Here is a 15,686-nt window from a genome sequence, read left to right as displayed (position 1 = left end):
AGACCAGCCTGGCCAACATAGTGAAACCCCATCTCTACTAAAAATACAAAATAAAATTAGCCAGGCATGGTGGCTGGCGCCTGTAGTCCCAGCCACTTGAGAGGCTAAGGGAGGCGAATCACTTGAACCTGGGAGGCGGAGGTTGCAGTGAGCGGAGATCGTGCCACTGCACTCCAGCCTGGGCGACACAGCAAGACTCTGTCTAAATAATAATAATAATCCTCCAACTGGGTGCAGTGGTGTGTGCCTGTAATCCCAGCTACTTGGGAAGCTGAGGTAGGAGGATTACTTGAGCCTAAAAGTTCAAGACAAGCCTGGGCAACATAACAAGACCTTGTCTCCGAAAAAAAAGAAAAAAAAATCATCCTCCTCTCCTTCTCTCATGCCCCACATTTAGTTTTCGAATCCTGAGCCAAAGGCCCCACATGCTCCCTCCCCTCCCACCAGCACTGCCACCAGCTGCACCCAATCCTTGCTGGCTCTTGTCTGCAACACAGTCATTGCCTCCAACTAAGAGCCCATCCTAGGTCCCACCCTAACCCACCCATGCTATCCTCTACTATGGATCACTTCCTTGAAGCACAGAGCTCGAGGTGTTACACTTCTGTTCGCACAGTCAAGTGGCTCCCCCTTGACTCTTCAATCTAGCCCAAGCTCCCTGCCTACAAGTCAAAGGCCTCCCCAGTAGGACCCAGTCTAACTACCTTCCAGATCCATTGTTCACCACTTACTCCTCATAGATGCTGGGCTCTATCCAAACTGAACTTCTCACCATCTGGGGACATATGTTCCCTCTGCCCAAAATAATCTACCCCTGTCTCCACCTGTTGAGATCCATCCCTAAAGGATTATTCAATAAATAGTACTGGAACAATTGGTTAGTCATTTGGAGGAAATTTTTTAAATTCTTCACTCATACTATACACCAAAATATATTTCAGATAGTTAAACGTAAAATGTAAATATATAGTAAAATCACATATATAAAAAATAAAACCATAAAAAGCTTCCAAAAGTGTTCAAAAACATGACTACCGAATATCTGAAAGGGGAGAAGATCCTAGGCTTAAAGCAAAGAATGAAATTTCAAAAGAAACAAGCAATATATCTGACTCATTAAATAGAATTGGACTGGTTAAAATCAAACTGATAAGAAATGAACAGAGGGGTCCGGGCGCGGTGGCTCATGCCTGTAATCCCAGCACTTTGGGAGGCCGAGGCAGGCAGATCACAAGGTCAGGAGATCTAGACCATCCTGGCTAACACAGTGAAACCCCATCTCTACTAAAAACATAAAAAATTAGCCGGGCGTGGTGGCAGGCGCCTGCAGTCCCACCTACTCGGAAGGCTGAGGCAAGAGAATGGCATGAACCCGGGAAACGTGGCTTGCAATGAGCCAAGATCACGCCACTGCACTCCAGCCTGAGCGACAGAGCAAGACTCTCAAAAAAAAAAAAAAGAAAGAAAGAAAGAAATGAACAGAGGGGGCTGGGCGCAGTGGCTCATGCCTATAATCCCAGCACTTTGGGAGGCCAAGGCGGGCGGATCACGAGGTCAAGAGATCAAGACCATCCTGGCCAACATGGTGAAACCCTGTCTCTACTAAAACTACAAAAATTAGCTGGGCACGGTGGTCACATGCCTGTAGTTCCAGCTACTCAGGAGGCTGAGGCAGGAGAATCCGTTGAACCCAGGAGACAGAGGTTGCAGTAAGCTGAGATCATGCCACTGCACTCCAGCCTGGTGACAGAGTGAGACTCTGTCTCAAAAAAAAAAAGAAATGAACAGAGAGATAGTCCTTTTCATGAACTGAATGTTGGTGTCCTCTATGTAGGGAAGTTGCATTAGAGAGGAGAAATCAGAAAGTTGGTTAGCAAGAAACCAGAGAAGGAGCTGGGTGGACATCTTTCACAAAGGTCAAGTGATGCCTGACATTGCATTCCTTCCTTAGGGATTTTAATGTCTCAATCCTCTCCAAGGATTGAATTGTTCACGACCCAAAATTTGGTATCTTCCTCTGAACTCTCCTTCTTCTAGGAAACTGATGTCAAATCCACCCTACCTGCTGGCAGCTCCCACACCTAATTACTACTGACCCATGTGGATGCACCCGAATTCACATTTATTGAGCACTCACTGTAATTCAGGCATTACGCTAAACATGTTTCAAGGATTACTGCCCAACAACCCTACAAGGTATTTTTTTTTTTAGTGCAGTTGTCCCCAACATCCTCTTTGATTCGTGTCTTTTCAAAATAATAATAATTACTTTATTGGGGTCTAATTTCTCTATAATAAACTACATTTGAATGAGTTTTGGCAAATCTGTGAAATCACTACCATAAACAAGACACAGAATACATCACCCTTAAAAGTTTCCTTGTATTACCCTTTCCAATCTGTCCCTCCATATTCAGGCCCAGGCAACTACTGATTTGCTCTCTGACACACACACACACAGACACATACACACACACCTTCCTCTTTCATATACTTTTATATAAATGGGGTCATACAAACTGTGTGATCATACTTTCACTTCCCTCGGGTAAATACCTAGAAGTGGAGGCTGGCTGCGGTGGGTCACGCCTGTAATCCTAGCACTTTGGGAGGCCGAGGTGGGTGGATTGCCTGAGCTCAGGTGTTCGAGACCAGCCTGAGCAACACGGTGAAACCCTATCTCTACTAAAATACAAAAAATGAGCTGGGTATGGCTATAGTCCCAGCTACTTAGGAGGCTGAAGCAGGAGAATTGCTTGAACCCAGGAGGCAGAGGTTGCAGTGAGCCAAGATTGTTCCACTGCACCCCAACCTGGGCAACAGAGCAAGACTGCTCAAAAAAAAAAAAAAAGTGGAAATGTTGGGTCTTATTTTATGAAAGGTATATAAGAAACTGCCAAACTGTTTCCCAAAGCATTTATACCATTTTATATCCTTACTAGCAATGTATGAGTTCCAGTTTCTTCACATCCTTCTCAACACTTGATGTTACATTTTTTAATTTTAGCCATTCTAGTTGGTATTTCATTCTGACTTTAATTTATATTTCCCTAATGATGAATAATGTTGAGCACTGTTTCATGTGCTTACTGGCTTTTTTGACGAAGTGTCTGTTAAAATCTTTCACCTTTTATATTGGGTTATCTATTATTTGTGTTCTTTACAAGTCCATTGTTGGATTCACTATCTATGAATAACTACATTTAGGCTGGGTGTGGTGGCTCACATCTGTAATCCCAGCACTTTGGGAGGCTGAGGCGGGCAGATCACCTGAGGTCAGGAGTTCAAGACCAGCCTGGCCAACATTGTGGAACCCCATCTCTACTAAAAATACAAAAATTAGCCGGGTGTGGTGGCGGTTGCCTGTAATCCCAGCTACTCAGGAGGCTGAGGTAGGAGAATTGCTTGAACCCGGGAGGTGGAGGGTGTAATGAGCTAAAATCACGCCACTGCACTCCAGCCTGGGTGACAGAGCAAGACTCAAAAAAAAAAAAAAAAAAATTTAAGGATGAGGACATTTTGGCTTTGGAAAATCAAGTAACTGGTCAAGGTCACAGATTCAAACCCAGTGCAGTTGCAGAGCCTACACTTTTTAACACTATTCCAATTCTGCCTCTTGTTACACCTCAATGCTTACAACAAAAAGACCTCATAGGAATTATTCATTTTATTGATAAAGAAACTAAAGATTGGCAGTCAATTTCCTTAACCACTTTAATATGGCTAACTGTGGGGACAGTTAACTGATCTCTGGATCCCAAATCTAACCTCATCCTAAATCATCTTCTTTCTATATTGTTCCCACAGTGATCTTTCCAAAATGTGAACCTGATCACATACGGTGGCTCCAGACTCTGGGGTAGGCACTAACTCTCCCGCACTGCAAATGGCTTTCCTTGATCTAATCCACCCTCCAGTGTCATCTACGACCATTCTTCAGGCATACACACCCCCAGCTGCTCTGAGCTCCCAGCATCAGGCCCTGGGTGCCTCTGCACTGCCGTCTCCTATGCTGGGTGGCTCTTCTCCAGAGTTGCCAGGCCAACTGCAGTTTGCCCTTCAGAGTCAGCTCATGCCTCCTCTAGGGAACCCCACAGGCTGGTCAGAACCCGCTTCCGAGTGCTCCAAAGGATCTCCCTCCCCCCGGTCGCCAGTGTATAGACTGGAACTCTGTTCCCAGCACACAACCAGCGCGAGCAGGCTGGGGCCTGAGTATGCTCAGCTAACGCCCCGGAAGCGAGAAGGAGGGAAGTGGACGACACCGGAGTCTAAAGTAAAAGTGTCACGGGAAGAGGCGCGTAGACAGACGCAGCGGGCGGCTGAGTCACGCTAAGGCTGGCAAGTCCCCAGGGCTAGAAACCGAGCAGTAACACTAGCCTACTCTCAGCTTGCCGCCCGCCCGGCGCGGCCCCTGACGTCACCCCTCTGCGCCACGCCGCCGCGGCGCTTCCGGCCGCGAGGCCGCGGAGGGCGGGACGGAGTGACTTCACGGGAAATCGCGCGCCGGAAGTGGCTAGGGCTGCACGGAAGTCGCGGGGGCGGGGCGCGGAGGCGATGGGGGGGCGGCGGCGGCCGGCGATGAGCGGCGGGAGCGCGTGAGCGAGCCGGGCGGGCGAGGCTGGGGGGCCCCGGAGCGCGAGCCGGAGGGCGGGGGCGCGAGCGCGGCGGGCGGTGGCGGCGAGGCGGCGGCCTAGAAGATGGCGGACGGCGACAGCGGCAGCGAGCGCGGCGGCGGCGGTGGGCCGTGCGGGTTCCAGCCCGCGTCCCGCGGCGGCGGCGAGCAAGAGACGCAGGAGCTGGCCTCGAAGCGGCTGGACATCCAGAACAAGCGCTTCTACTTAGATGTGAAGCAGAACGCCAAGGGCCGCTTCCTCAAGATCGCCGAGGTGGGCGCGGGCGGTTCCAAGAGCCGCCTCACGCTGTCCATGGCGGTGGCCGCCGAGTTCCGCGACTCGCTGGGCGACTTCATAGAACACTACGCGCAGCTGGGCCCTAGCAGCCCCGAGCAGCTGGCGGCTGGCGCCGAGGAGGGCGGCGGGCCGCGGCGCGCGCTCAAGAGCGAATTCTTGGTGCGTGAGAACCGCAAGTACTACCTGGACCTCAAGGAGAACCAGCGCGGCCGCTTCCTGCGCATCCGCCAAACGGTCAACCGCGGCGGTGGCGGCTTCGGCGCGGGCCCCGGGCCGGGCGGCTTGCAGAGCGGCCAGACCATCGCGCTGCCTGCGCAGGGCCTCATCGAGTTCCGCGACGCGCTGGCGAAGCTCATAGACGACTACGGAGGCGAGGACGACGAGCTGGCAGGCGGCCCGGGAGGCGGCGCCGGGGGCCCAGGGGGCGGCCTGTATGGAGAGCTCCCGGAGGGCACCTCCATCACCGTGGACTCCAAGCGCTTCTTCTTCGATGTGGGCTGCAACAAATACGGGGTGTTTCTGCGAGTGAGCGAGGTGAAGCCGTCCTACCGCAATGCCATCACCGTACCCTTCAAAGCCTGGGGCAAGTTCGGAGGCGCCTTTTGCCGGTATGCGGATGAGATGAAAGAAATCCAGGAACGACAGAGGGATAAGCTTTATGAGCGACGTGGTGGGGGCAGCGGCGGCGGCGAAGAGTCAGAGGGTGAGGAGGTGGATGAGGATTGAAACGGGCAGCTTCCCCTACAGGCCTCCACCCAACCACCATCCCCTTGGCTAGAGAATTCCCTTTCCTGCTCATCCCCAGTGAGCTAGTGGAGAGGGAGCAAGGGAGGCCGCAGAGGGAAAAAACAAAACGTAACACAGTTAAGAGAAATAATCGTAAGAGAACAGTGACGGACAACTTGAGAAAAGCAGTCAAGTTCCAAGGAACTGACAGCAACCTGCAAAGAGGAAAACAGCATCTCCTCACCTGCGTAAAATTGTCTCAGCTTCTGTTGTTTCTCAACTGAGGTTCGTAAACCCATCAGGATAATCCCTGGAGGGAATAGATCCTTGCACATCCAGGGCAAGAAACATGTCCAAGTTACCCAGACCATTGATAACAGTTGCATTTAGGTTGCACCTGGGTAATCTGGCATAAAAGATCTCTCTAGGCCTCACTGTTGCGGTGTCTATCCCTTCACCTCCATTGAAATCAGCATTTTGGATCTAGGTCTTCATGGAATCCTTGAGAAGAGAGGCCTTTACAATTACCCAGTTCTGAGGGTTCAGGTTCACGAAAAGAAATGCAACTTGGGATAATCATGAACAGGTTAAAGATAAGATTTCAAGAAGCCATCTAAGAATACAGAACCAAATTGGATCCATTTTTTTAAAAAAATGGTTTTGCATGGAACCTGGACCAAGGCAAATGTCTTTTCTTCGCAGAATTGTTTTCCAGGATGCCAGTGGATTCAGATAGCAATGCTTGGAGTAGAATCCGTTACTAAAATAGTTTCAAAGTTGACAAAAAATTTTCAAAGATAAAAGCAGTTTTACATTGGGGGTTGCTGAGGTAGGCACAAGAAAAAGTCAGGCATAAAGCACAAGGCAGACTGTTTGAGTGGATTGGTTGCTGCTCACTAAAGTTGTTCCCCTGATCTCTAAATATGGAGGTCATTACCAAGAAATGCTTTGGTATGAATGAGAGCCAGATCTCCACTGTGTGAGCCAGTGAATTATGGCTAATTCGGCTGTTACAGCCACTGGTTGGCTGGATTTTAAACCATAAAACTTGAAGATTACCTACAAAAGTAACAGTGTGGCTATAAGCCTGAGCTTTAATGGATATACATCCTCACAGAAAAGTTGGAAATAACCAAAACTGAAGTCTTAATTTACCTTCAGTTTAATCTGTGGATTTGTTCAAATACTAAAGATCCTCAGGTCCAGAATTCCAGCATCATTTATTCTTTTAAAATTTTTAAGAACTTGATCCATTGTATCAGTACCTCACAATCAGAGTTGGCAAATGATGGATGAGTGATTCAAGCAGTGCACCCGGTGGAAGCTGAAATCCATCTGTGAATGGAACTGAAGTGAACGTGAATATGCTGACTATATCCTGGAAGCATTTTTATACCATCTTGAAATTTCAACAAACTGGCTTTTGCCAGTTAATCCAGCTGTCTTTCAAGAATAAAAGTTGGGGTTTTCAAGGATCGCCTCTTCTATATTTTAAATGGATTTTCAGTAGAAATGATTTTTACTAATCAAGTTAATCCCACCCCATCAAAAGGTATTCCTAGAAATGTCATAGACCTAGGTAACTTTGAATTGAATGGGAGCTAACGTTCTTTCCAAAGTTTTCAGGTATTCTTTGTGTGACACCTTCTCAACCAGGAGGCAAGTAACCCCGCCTCCACAATCTTAGTATTTTTTTTAAACTGCATGCCTGCCCCTTATTTGAGCTGCCTTTTTAATTTATTGCATATCCTTTTTATTATCTTATTTTGGTATTATTCAATCTATACAATCTTTTTGTATTTATTGGGAAATGAGTAATATACAAAAAGGTTTTCATGTATTTGTGGCTGAGAGGGCGGGAAATAATTGTGTACATAAAATTAGGCTTTTTTAAAAAAATAGATTATGATGCAGAATATTGTTGATCTTAGATTAAAAAGTGGAAGAGCCACAAACATTGGTGCCCTTTTCAGACTATTTCTCTACTCTCATCATCCACAGTAGAATTTTTAAACAGATTTTTTTAAAGCTTTTCTTTTAAATTTTTCTCCGTTGCAAAGAATGTTTCCTAAATTGTATGGGAGCAATAGTATTTTTGATGTTTTAATGACATCCGTATACTTGTACTGTATTTTGTACTACAAGGCAGCTGTTTTTCAATAATGTCCTGCTGTATTTACCTACGTGTTTTGAGTGTCTATTTCTTTGCTGCGGAGAACAAATTCCTAAATAGTTTTAGTAAAGGAGCTGAGAAGCTAGCATTAGGTTTGCAGAAACTATTTAAGTTTCAACTCTGAGGCAGCAATGAAAATTTAAGTTGCAGCTATTAGTTGATTGCTGTAACTTTTTCATTTTCAAACCATGTACAATTCTTGTATAGACCAACTTGTTTTCTTGCTTCAGTGGTGGTTCTGTTGCTCAGCTGCAGTGAGCCAGTTCAATTTTGCAAAGGTGCAGTACCTCTCCTTTTTAAGGGGTTGGTTTATTCTTTTTTCTTTTTGTTTGGCTGAATTGCAGTAACTAGCCTTGCCTTTCTATTCTGTAGAAATGACAGGGTCTTCACAATCCTTCACCAGTGGCTACTAAGCTATAATTAGCTGAATAGAAAGAATGTGGAAGTGGTCTGAGGCATATAGAGTATATGCCAAGAACACTACCATATATGGCATCAGCTTTGGTTACCAGAGAAATTTTCTTAGTCATTAGACCATGTAACAGTAATATATCATATGTAAATCTTTAGATATCAATTTGAAAATCCTCCAAAAAAAGGAGCAAAGAATGCATAAGCTATGTGTTGGCAAAAGTAATTTATATTAAAATTTTGACCTGCCTATGTAAGATTAAGTGGTAATGTCATAGTGGTGGGTTTTTAAGTCTTAACCAATCTCTAAGGTTTGTTTCTCCTGCAAGGGATGGTTCATGGCCTCTCTTCCCACTGCAGGAAGATTGCAGAAGGCTGTGGATTAATTGTAGCATTTCACTGATCTTCACTCCAGTCACTAGGGACAATAGAAACCTGCAAAACACAGATTCATTCGTAAATATTATTAATAGCTTATTAAAGGAAATGGTCTTTGTTAATTCCAGTCAGATAATGGCATTGTACAGACATGGGAAACAACCAATTTTTTTGTTTTTCAGTTGTTGCTATGAATGATTTTGAGCCTTTTTTTTTAAGCTTGGCAAACATCCCAGCTAATCAAAATAGTCATATTCCTGAGAAGTAGGAAACTAAAACTTCTTTTCATATAATTGTTAGAAGGTTTGTTTCCCAAACTACCATAGTTACAAAGGTGAAAAGCCAAATTTTAGGAACAGAATCAAAAGAATAAAAATCTGTGAAGAGATCCTACTACTCTTCCTTCTATGTTTTGGTTTTGGTTTCTATTGTCCCTATCATTTCAGCAAGTGGAACAGCAGCAAGTTTTTCAGTGCATATGCTGCACAAGAACAAAATATAAATCTGTATGGCACCAAAAATCAAAGTGAAAACCAAACCAAAAACCCAAACACCCTATGTAACTATCGGAGGCATATACGTGGTATAAATGACTGTAGCTGTGATACACACATGGCTACTTGTCACATCACTTTCCATAATTATTTACTGCAAAATGATTGAGAGGCTTTTGGTGCAGGCAGCCGTTAACCTCCTGCTTCCTTTGTTACCTCTGGATTACTTTGCAGTAAATTGCAGGTCTTTTAAGAGATTTAAGCTTCAGTTTTCTCAAAACAAAACAATTATCCTGTCTTATCTGAAGATGCAGGGTTGTGGGCAAAAGAGGCTGGTTATAATAATGCCCTCATATTGAGTGGTCTGTAAACGGCTGCACACTTCAGGCACTGTAGTTGCTGAAGATGCTTTGTTAAATGTGACCTTGACTGGCTTTACAGGGGTGTAGAATGTAATCTACACAAGGTGACTTTGCATCTATCTTGCTCTTGAGGTGGATGAAATTGAGAAGCTGGAGTGTGTAAGCCATGCACATAAGTATTCTTCACTGTAAATTTTGTTTTCATTTTTAACCCAATTATGGTACTTTATCCAATGCACAACTGATCTCTCAGTAGATATTCATTTGAAAATAGTGTGGCCTTGATCAGTGAGAAAGGGAAGGAGAAAAGTGACTTTTTTGCTTATGTAGAAATGACTCATTTGCTGAGAGTTTGTCTTTCTGCAGCACTCTTGGTATATAGTGATCGGTCTCCTTTTTGATTGGGGAAAGTTAATGTTTTTGACCCTGGAGTTAATTCAGTTGAGTTATCTTATATTTTTAGGAAGTATCAGAATTGCTCTGATGAATAACAAAGTTGACTGTTTTGATGTCCAATCTCAGGTTTTAGAATATAGTGGTGTAAAGTCCCACTATTTTTAATTCTTAAAACAACTTTAATTTCGTACACCCTAAAAGTCACATGCATAAGGCCTGTTCAGAGAGCAGAGCCTCCATCTTTTTGCTCCTTTTCTACTTTGTACTTCACTTGAAAAAATATCAAGTGACTTTACATTGTATATTTCCATTGTAACCCTGACATTTCTCAAAGATAAAGCACTTTTTGATCATGAAATACATGAAATCTTTGTGTGATGTGGATCATAGTTTCTCAGGCTCCCTTAGATAATTGCTTATGAATATTGTTCTAACTCTGTGTAAGAAGAGTAGAAATCTTTGCTAATGTTAGAAGGTTTGTATTATTGATCCAGAATGCATTTTGCTAGTTTCCAATGGATGGGAGAGTAAATAATGCTGCATTCACAATTTAATAAGTTACTTTCCCTTGAGCCTTAAGGTAACTTTTTCTTTCCTGTCAACTACAGCACTGAAGTTATAGTAAGTGAATGAGATTATCAGTTTTCAGGGTTGGTTTTAGAGTACTGTAAATCAATTAGCTGTCTTCCTAAAGAGTTACAACTCCCATTCAGTATACTGGATAATGGGTGTGTGGGTGGGGCTGGGGAGGGCGGGAGATAGTTTGTAGAAAAGAAAAAAGAAAAAAAAAAAAACACATTTACCTTAAGAAAATACAGACAAAAAAGAATAAAGTATGTGTCATATGCTCCATTTGAGATTCCAAATGCGGCCGGGCGTGGTGGCTCACGCCTGTAATCCCAGCACTCTGGGAGGCTGAGGTGGGCGGGTCAGTTCAGGTCAGCCTGGACAACATGGTGAAACCCCGTCTCTACTAAAAATACTAAAATTAGCCGGGCATGGTGGTGCATGCCTGTAGTCCCAGCTACTTGGGAGGCTGAGGCAGGAGAATGGCATGAACCCAGGAAGCGGAGGTTGCAGTGAGCCAAGATCGCGCCATTGCACTCCAGCCTGGGTAACAGAACAAGACTCCGTCTCAAAAAATAAATAAATAAATTCCAAATGTAAGGTGGAAATGGCAGATTATAACTTCATTTCCCCCATTTTTAACTTAGAAAAAACAAAGTCCTTAATTTTCAAGTATTAGCCCCCCAGAAGTTTCAGCAGATAGCTGGACTCTTGAATAATGATTTCTTTTGATATGTCTGACTTTGCTATTTAAAGTCTCCTTTCCCAGCCCTCAGTCTTAAAACTCAGTTTTATTACTGACGGATTTAACAGACTCTTACTTGAAAATTGTCCAATTATCAGTACTGAAAATTAGATTTGGAAAATGAAAAAATAATAAAATCGCATCAAGAAAACTTATTACCTTAGAGATTCCCAATTGATATCTGTACCCCTGATCCAAGTAAGGCCTTTATGAATGTATTTTATATTTCCTAAAGAAATAGGGAATATGCCATCAGTGTAATCACCTCTATTCACAGTCATTTAATTTGAAAATCTAACTCATGTCTCTTGAATTAGACATTCCAATTGGGATAGGTAGAGTCATGTTAAAACAATAGAATAGCAACTGCCATATTGGTAGTTTCACTGCTCAATATGATTTCTAATAAGAGCAGAGCTTTATTGGAAGCTAAAACTCATTTTTCTCCATAGATGATTCTAACAGTTTAATAAAAAAGTATAATTATACTTTAAGTGTCAACAGATTTTGAGTCTAGAAGCAAATTTCATTTTCCTTGTGTTATATCTAATATCCATTGACATGGGTAAGAAAACTAATTATGTCTTTTTAGTATGATGAAATGTGGGCCCAGAGTATTGGAAAGAAAGCAATAGCCCTATTCAGTGTCCACTAGGATGGATATTGCAGAAGGCATGAGTTTGTCCTTTTTTCCCCCTTACCTTAAATAACACTTCAATAGCTAACTTTTTCCAAAATATCCATTTAGGCCATCTCTTATTTCTTAAAGCCAAATATTTCGTCCCCAGTCTTAACTCTGAGTTGCAAGATCAGGCTGGTTGGAAGAATCTTTATATTTAGAAATAGGATGGTGAGTGGTTTGTTTATTCTCTTGTAAAATTCCTTTTTCAGAGACATAACTGCAGGGAGAGTCCCAAGAGAACTGAAGAACTGGATTATATCATTAAACACATTTGTGTTGTAGGAATTTGGGAGTTTCATTTTGAACTGATAAGATATTAGACATAAACCCTTGTTCCAGCCCACATGTGTCATCCCTGTGTACAAAAGCTCTCTGGATTCTTTTTTTTTTTTTGAGACGGAGTTTCGCTCTTATCGTCCAGGCTGGAGTGAGTGTAGTGGCTTGATCTCAGCTCACTGCAACCTTTGCCTCCCGGGCTCAAGCGATTCTCCTGCCTCAGCCTCCCAAGTAGCTGGGATTACAAGCATGTGCCACCATGCCCAGCTAATTTTCTGTATTTTTAGTAGAGACGGGGTTTCACCATGTTGGCCAGGCTGGTCTCGAACTCCTGACCTCAAGTGATCTGCCCGCCTCAGCTTCCCAAAATGCTGGAATTACAGGCATGAGCCATCACGCCTAGCCTACTCTCTGAATTTCTAAAAGTCAGTAGGTTGACCAAAAAGTCTAGAAACTGGCTTTAAGTCAGTATGGGACGTACTTATAAAGAGTCCATGGTTTTGCACGTTTCGGTAGACAAGTAAATCTGAGTTATTTTTCAATGACTTACCAATATTTGAATAGTAACTAAGATCGTCAGTGTATCTGGACTTCTTTTTTTGAAGTTCTAAAACAATTATAGTAGGGATTTATTATTTTGGGCCTCCATCCAGATGTTTTTCCAAGATCATTTTTAAAATTCATTTGTCTTCTGTTTCCAGATAACATACTTTCCGTTCTATAGGAATCTTCACTGCCAATCATAGTATCTACCAGTGGCTTTCTTAGACTATTCACTCCAAAGCTGGGACTGATGTCCTGCCAGTAGAGAATCTACAGAAATAATTTGAATGAATTAAAACCAAATCTTGATAGCAGGAGACAGCTTCCTGATCTAGATGTACAATTAGAGTTTAGGTTGGAAATTACTTTAAAATGTGTTTTTTGGGGATGTCTTCAATCTCTGTGTAAATACCCACATGCTTATGCATTGTAAACCAAGTGTGTATTCCTGTGTATGAATTTGTAGAACTGATTTCTGCTTCAAGAGAAGCTGCACCTTTAATTTTATAAGGTCCCCTCCACCTGTAACCCTATAAATGTCTGTAAATAAAACACTAAAATTTGTAGTGATAGGATCAATTTGGGAATATCTGCTGAGAGACCAAAAAGTTCATTTTTTTAAGTACCTTGGTTAAAGAGTAAAGATTATTCCTCTTATTTTTTAAAGAAGAATGCACTTTAACAAACATAGAGCTGCATGGGCAATTCAAACAAATCTGTGAAGTGCAGTACCCATTCAGAAATCACACTTCCTGAAAACCGTTCAAAAGCAGAGTCCAGACGGGCTGTTGATCTCACTGCCTGTAGGTTGAAGCTCAGATTCTGATCAATTTTGAGAGGAGCAGGGCTGCTTCAAAAGAGCAATGTGAATACAGTCAGAAGCTTCAGACTGGTCTGTAAAAATGGCGGGTCCCGTATTTACCACTAACTAGCAAAACTGACAGAAAAACTCACAGAGAAAAAATGTAAGAATCCTTCCTGCTGGTGTGCACTCCTTACAATAGACTTTTGCAAATGGAGTTTTACAGTCTATATTTAAAAAAAATTGTATGTTTGTAACAAATAAAGTATGCAGAAAAGTGAATGACAATCTTGTGCTTGTGTCTCTAAGTAATTATGTGGTGATAGGGGAGGGAAATCCCATCTGTTGGGGCTCACGAATGGGTATGGAATCAGGAGTTCCCACTTAAAATGACTTAAGTCATTGCACATTTCATCTGAACTATAGCCTGTTCTAGAACTTCTGGGTTGCCGTAACCCTTTTCTAGTAAGCAATTTGTGGAGTAAATCAAAACTGCAAATTAATTTTATGCTTTGGTTGATAACCTAGACAGCCACTTGGTTCCCTTAATTTCTTCCATCATTTACAATGGCTTGAAAGAAACTGCTAAGTCTTCATTCATTGTTTATCAACATTGTAGTTGCTTAGGAGGTAAATTAGGGCAGCCTTTTCTTGCCCTAATGTTTAAGAAAAAAACTGAATTGTGTCCATTTATCCTGGCCAGGTTGGTCTCAGGAACCCCTTTACAATTAAATTTACTGAATATCCCCAAGGAGGTTTTATCTTTCTAGGCTTTATCCGTAGATACCATTTTAGAAGCTGAAACTTTTTTTTTTTTTTTGAGACGGAGTCTTGCTCTGTCGCCAGGCTGGAGTACAGCAGCGCAATCTCAGCTCACTGTAACCTCCGCCTCCTGGGTTCAAGCGATTCCCCTGCCTCAGCCTCCCAAGTAGTTGTGATTACGGGCACGTGCCACCACGCCCGGCTAATTTTTTGTATTTCAGTAGAGACAGGGTATTACCATGTTGGCCAAGATGGTCTTAATCTGACCTCGTGATCTACCCATCTCAGCCTCCCAAAGTGTTGGGATTACAGGCGTGAGCCACCGCGCCGGCCAAGAAGCTGAAACATTTTCCAGACAAAAATAACAAGCACACATTCCATCAGCTATCAGAGCAATTACATGATAATGTCATAGCCTCTGGAAAACTCCACTGTAAATTTATGAAAGAATGAAAGTGGAAAATGCGAATGTTCTTATGAACATAGTTTTGACCTCTTGGGCTCCTGAGTCTCGGGCAACCCTAGGGGATTCTGGATCACACTCTTGAGAACCACTAACTAGACTAATAAGTAAATAGTGCCTTTCTGAAAATGAGGGATGGTTTTTTATGTATAGATAGCTTAATCCTTTAGTTCTCGTATATTTTCTTTATATTAGAAGCTCCTGCTACGAAATGCCTACACCGCCCCCAGCCCCCCCAACACACAACATACATAACTTTCCTGTGATTGTCCATTTCTACAATCTCTTAAGTGGTTCTCAATGCTGGCTGCAGAACCACCTGGAAAGCTTTGAATACTGATGCCCAGGCACCACCATAGACCAACTGAATCAATCTTTGAGACACAGACATGGAGTTTTTTGGTAATGCTTTGCCTTTTTGAGTTCCCCAAGGTGATTCTAGCCTACAGTCAGGGGTGAAACCAGTGGCCTGTGGGATTTTAAGGTATAAAGAAGGGAAAAGGGTTGGGAATCTCTGCCAGAGGAAAACAAAAGAGTATAGCAGAACATTCCTTGAATGTATGGCTTTCACCTCCCAACCACTGTGCCTAAATTACCACTTAAACCTCTAAAATAACTCATCTTGAGAAAAGTTTGTAAATGGAATCCTTCAGTATTGATATTAGTAGTCCCTCCCTGGGAAAATCTGGGGTTTTACTAGCACAGAGGAACCCTTAGCATGCATCGGAGTCACTTAGAGGGCTGGTTAAAACATGGATTACTGAGTTTCTGATTTAGCAGTTCTAGAGGGAACTTAAGTTGCATTTCTTTTTTTTTTTTTTCCCCTTGAGACAGAGTTTCACTCTTGTTGCCCAGGCTGGAGTGCAATGGCACGATCTCGGCTCACTGCAACCTCCACCTCCCAGGTTCAAGTGATTCTCCTGCCTCAGCCTCCCGAGTAGCTGGGATTACAGGCACGTGCCACTGTGCCCAGCTAATTTTTGTATTTTTAGTAGA

The 15,686-nt window shown here is 43.1% G+C and overlaps 1 protein-coding gene and 1 non-coding gene across 2 annotated transcripts, besides 7 other annotated features; both read left to right on the top strand.

Moving 5' to 3' along the window:
* Window positions 2,390-2,489: an enhancer, noted in NCBI's record as "active region_25957". NCBI's record gives its function as "activates an Ori minimal core promoter by ATAC-STARR-seq in GM12878 lymphoblastoid cells {active_cell/tissue: GM12878}" and the evidence as "EXISTENCE:reporter gene assay evidence [ECO:0000049][PMID:35858748]".
* Window positions 4,087-4,336: an enhancer, noted in NCBI's record as "active region_25956". NCBI's record gives its function as "activates an Ori minimal core promoter by ATAC-STARR-seq in GM12878 lymphoblastoid cells {active_cell/tissue: GM12878}" and the evidence as "EXISTENCE:reporter gene assay evidence [ECO:0000049][PMID:35858748]".
* Window positions 4,327-4,686: a silencer, noted in NCBI's record as "silent region_18158". NCBI's record gives its function as "represses an Ori minimal core promoter by ATAC-STARR-seq in GM12878 lymphoblastoid cells {active_cell/tissue: GM12878}" and the evidence as "EXISTENCE:reporter gene assay evidence [ECO:0000049][PMID:35858748]".
* Window positions 4,327-5,444: a biological region, named in NCBI's record as "NANOG-H3K27ac-H3K4me1 hESC enhancer GRCh37_chr7:44924201-44925160".
* Window positions 4,485-5,444: an enhancer, noted in NCBI's record as "NANOG-H3K27ac-H3K4me1 hESC enhancer chr7:44924201-44925160 (GRCh37/hg19 assembly coordinates)". NCBI's record gives its function as "activates a minimal SCP1, AML or CMV promoter by ChIP-STARR-seq in primed H9 embryonic stem cells {active_cell/tissue: H9 hESC(primed)}" and the evidence as "EXISTENCE:reporter gene assay evidence [ECO:0000049][PMID:30033119]".
* PURB (purine rich element binding protein B) lies at window positions 4,516-13,747 on the top strand. Its single transcript, NM_033224.5, has one exon. The coding sequence runs from the start codon at window positions 4,698-4,700 to the stop codon at window positions 5,634-5,636; it is 939 nt and encodes a 312-aa protein (NP_150093.1). The 5' UTR covers window positions 4,516-4,697; the 3' UTR covers window positions 5,637-13,747.
* Window positions 4,977-5,026: a silencer, noted in NCBI's record as "silent region_18157". NCBI's record gives its function as "represses an Ori minimal core promoter by ATAC-STARR-seq in GM12878 lymphoblastoid cells {active_cell/tissue: GM12878}" and the evidence as "EXISTENCE:reporter gene assay evidence [ECO:0000049][PMID:35858748]".
* On the top strand, window positions 8,246-8,298 carry MIR4657 (microRNA 4657). Its single transcript, NR_039801.1, has one exon. It is a non-coding gene; the product is annotated as a microRNA 4657 (primary transcript).
* Window positions 12,082-12,376: a silencer, noted in NCBI's record as "tiled region #12861; HepG2 Repressive non-DNase unmatched - State 23:Low". NCBI's record gives its function as "represses a minimal TATA promoter and a strong SV40 promoter by Sharpr-MPRA in HepG2 cells {active_cell/tissue: HepG2}" and the evidence as "EXISTENCE:reporter gene assay evidence [ECO:0000049][PMID:27701403]".
* Window positions 13,748-15,686: the final 1,939 nt, after the last annotated feature.

The sequence above is a fragment of the Homo sapiens genome, chromosome 7, assembly GCF_000001405.40.
Source record: "Homo sapiens chromosome 7, GRCh38.p14 Primary Assembly".
In the NCBI taxonomy this organism is placed as follows: domain Eukaryota; kingdom Metazoa; phylum Chordata; class Mammalia; order Primates; family Hominidae; genus Homo; species Homo sapiens.
The sequence above is the reverse complement of the archived record's forward strand: the minus strand, read 5'-3'. Positions and strand labels throughout refer to the sequence as shown.

What these genes read in the sequence shown, in the direction of transcription:
- PURB (NM_033224.5), top strand. Translation starts at nt 4,698, where the DNA reads ATGGCGGACGGCGACAGCGGCAGCGAGCGCGGCGGCGGCGGTGGGCCG.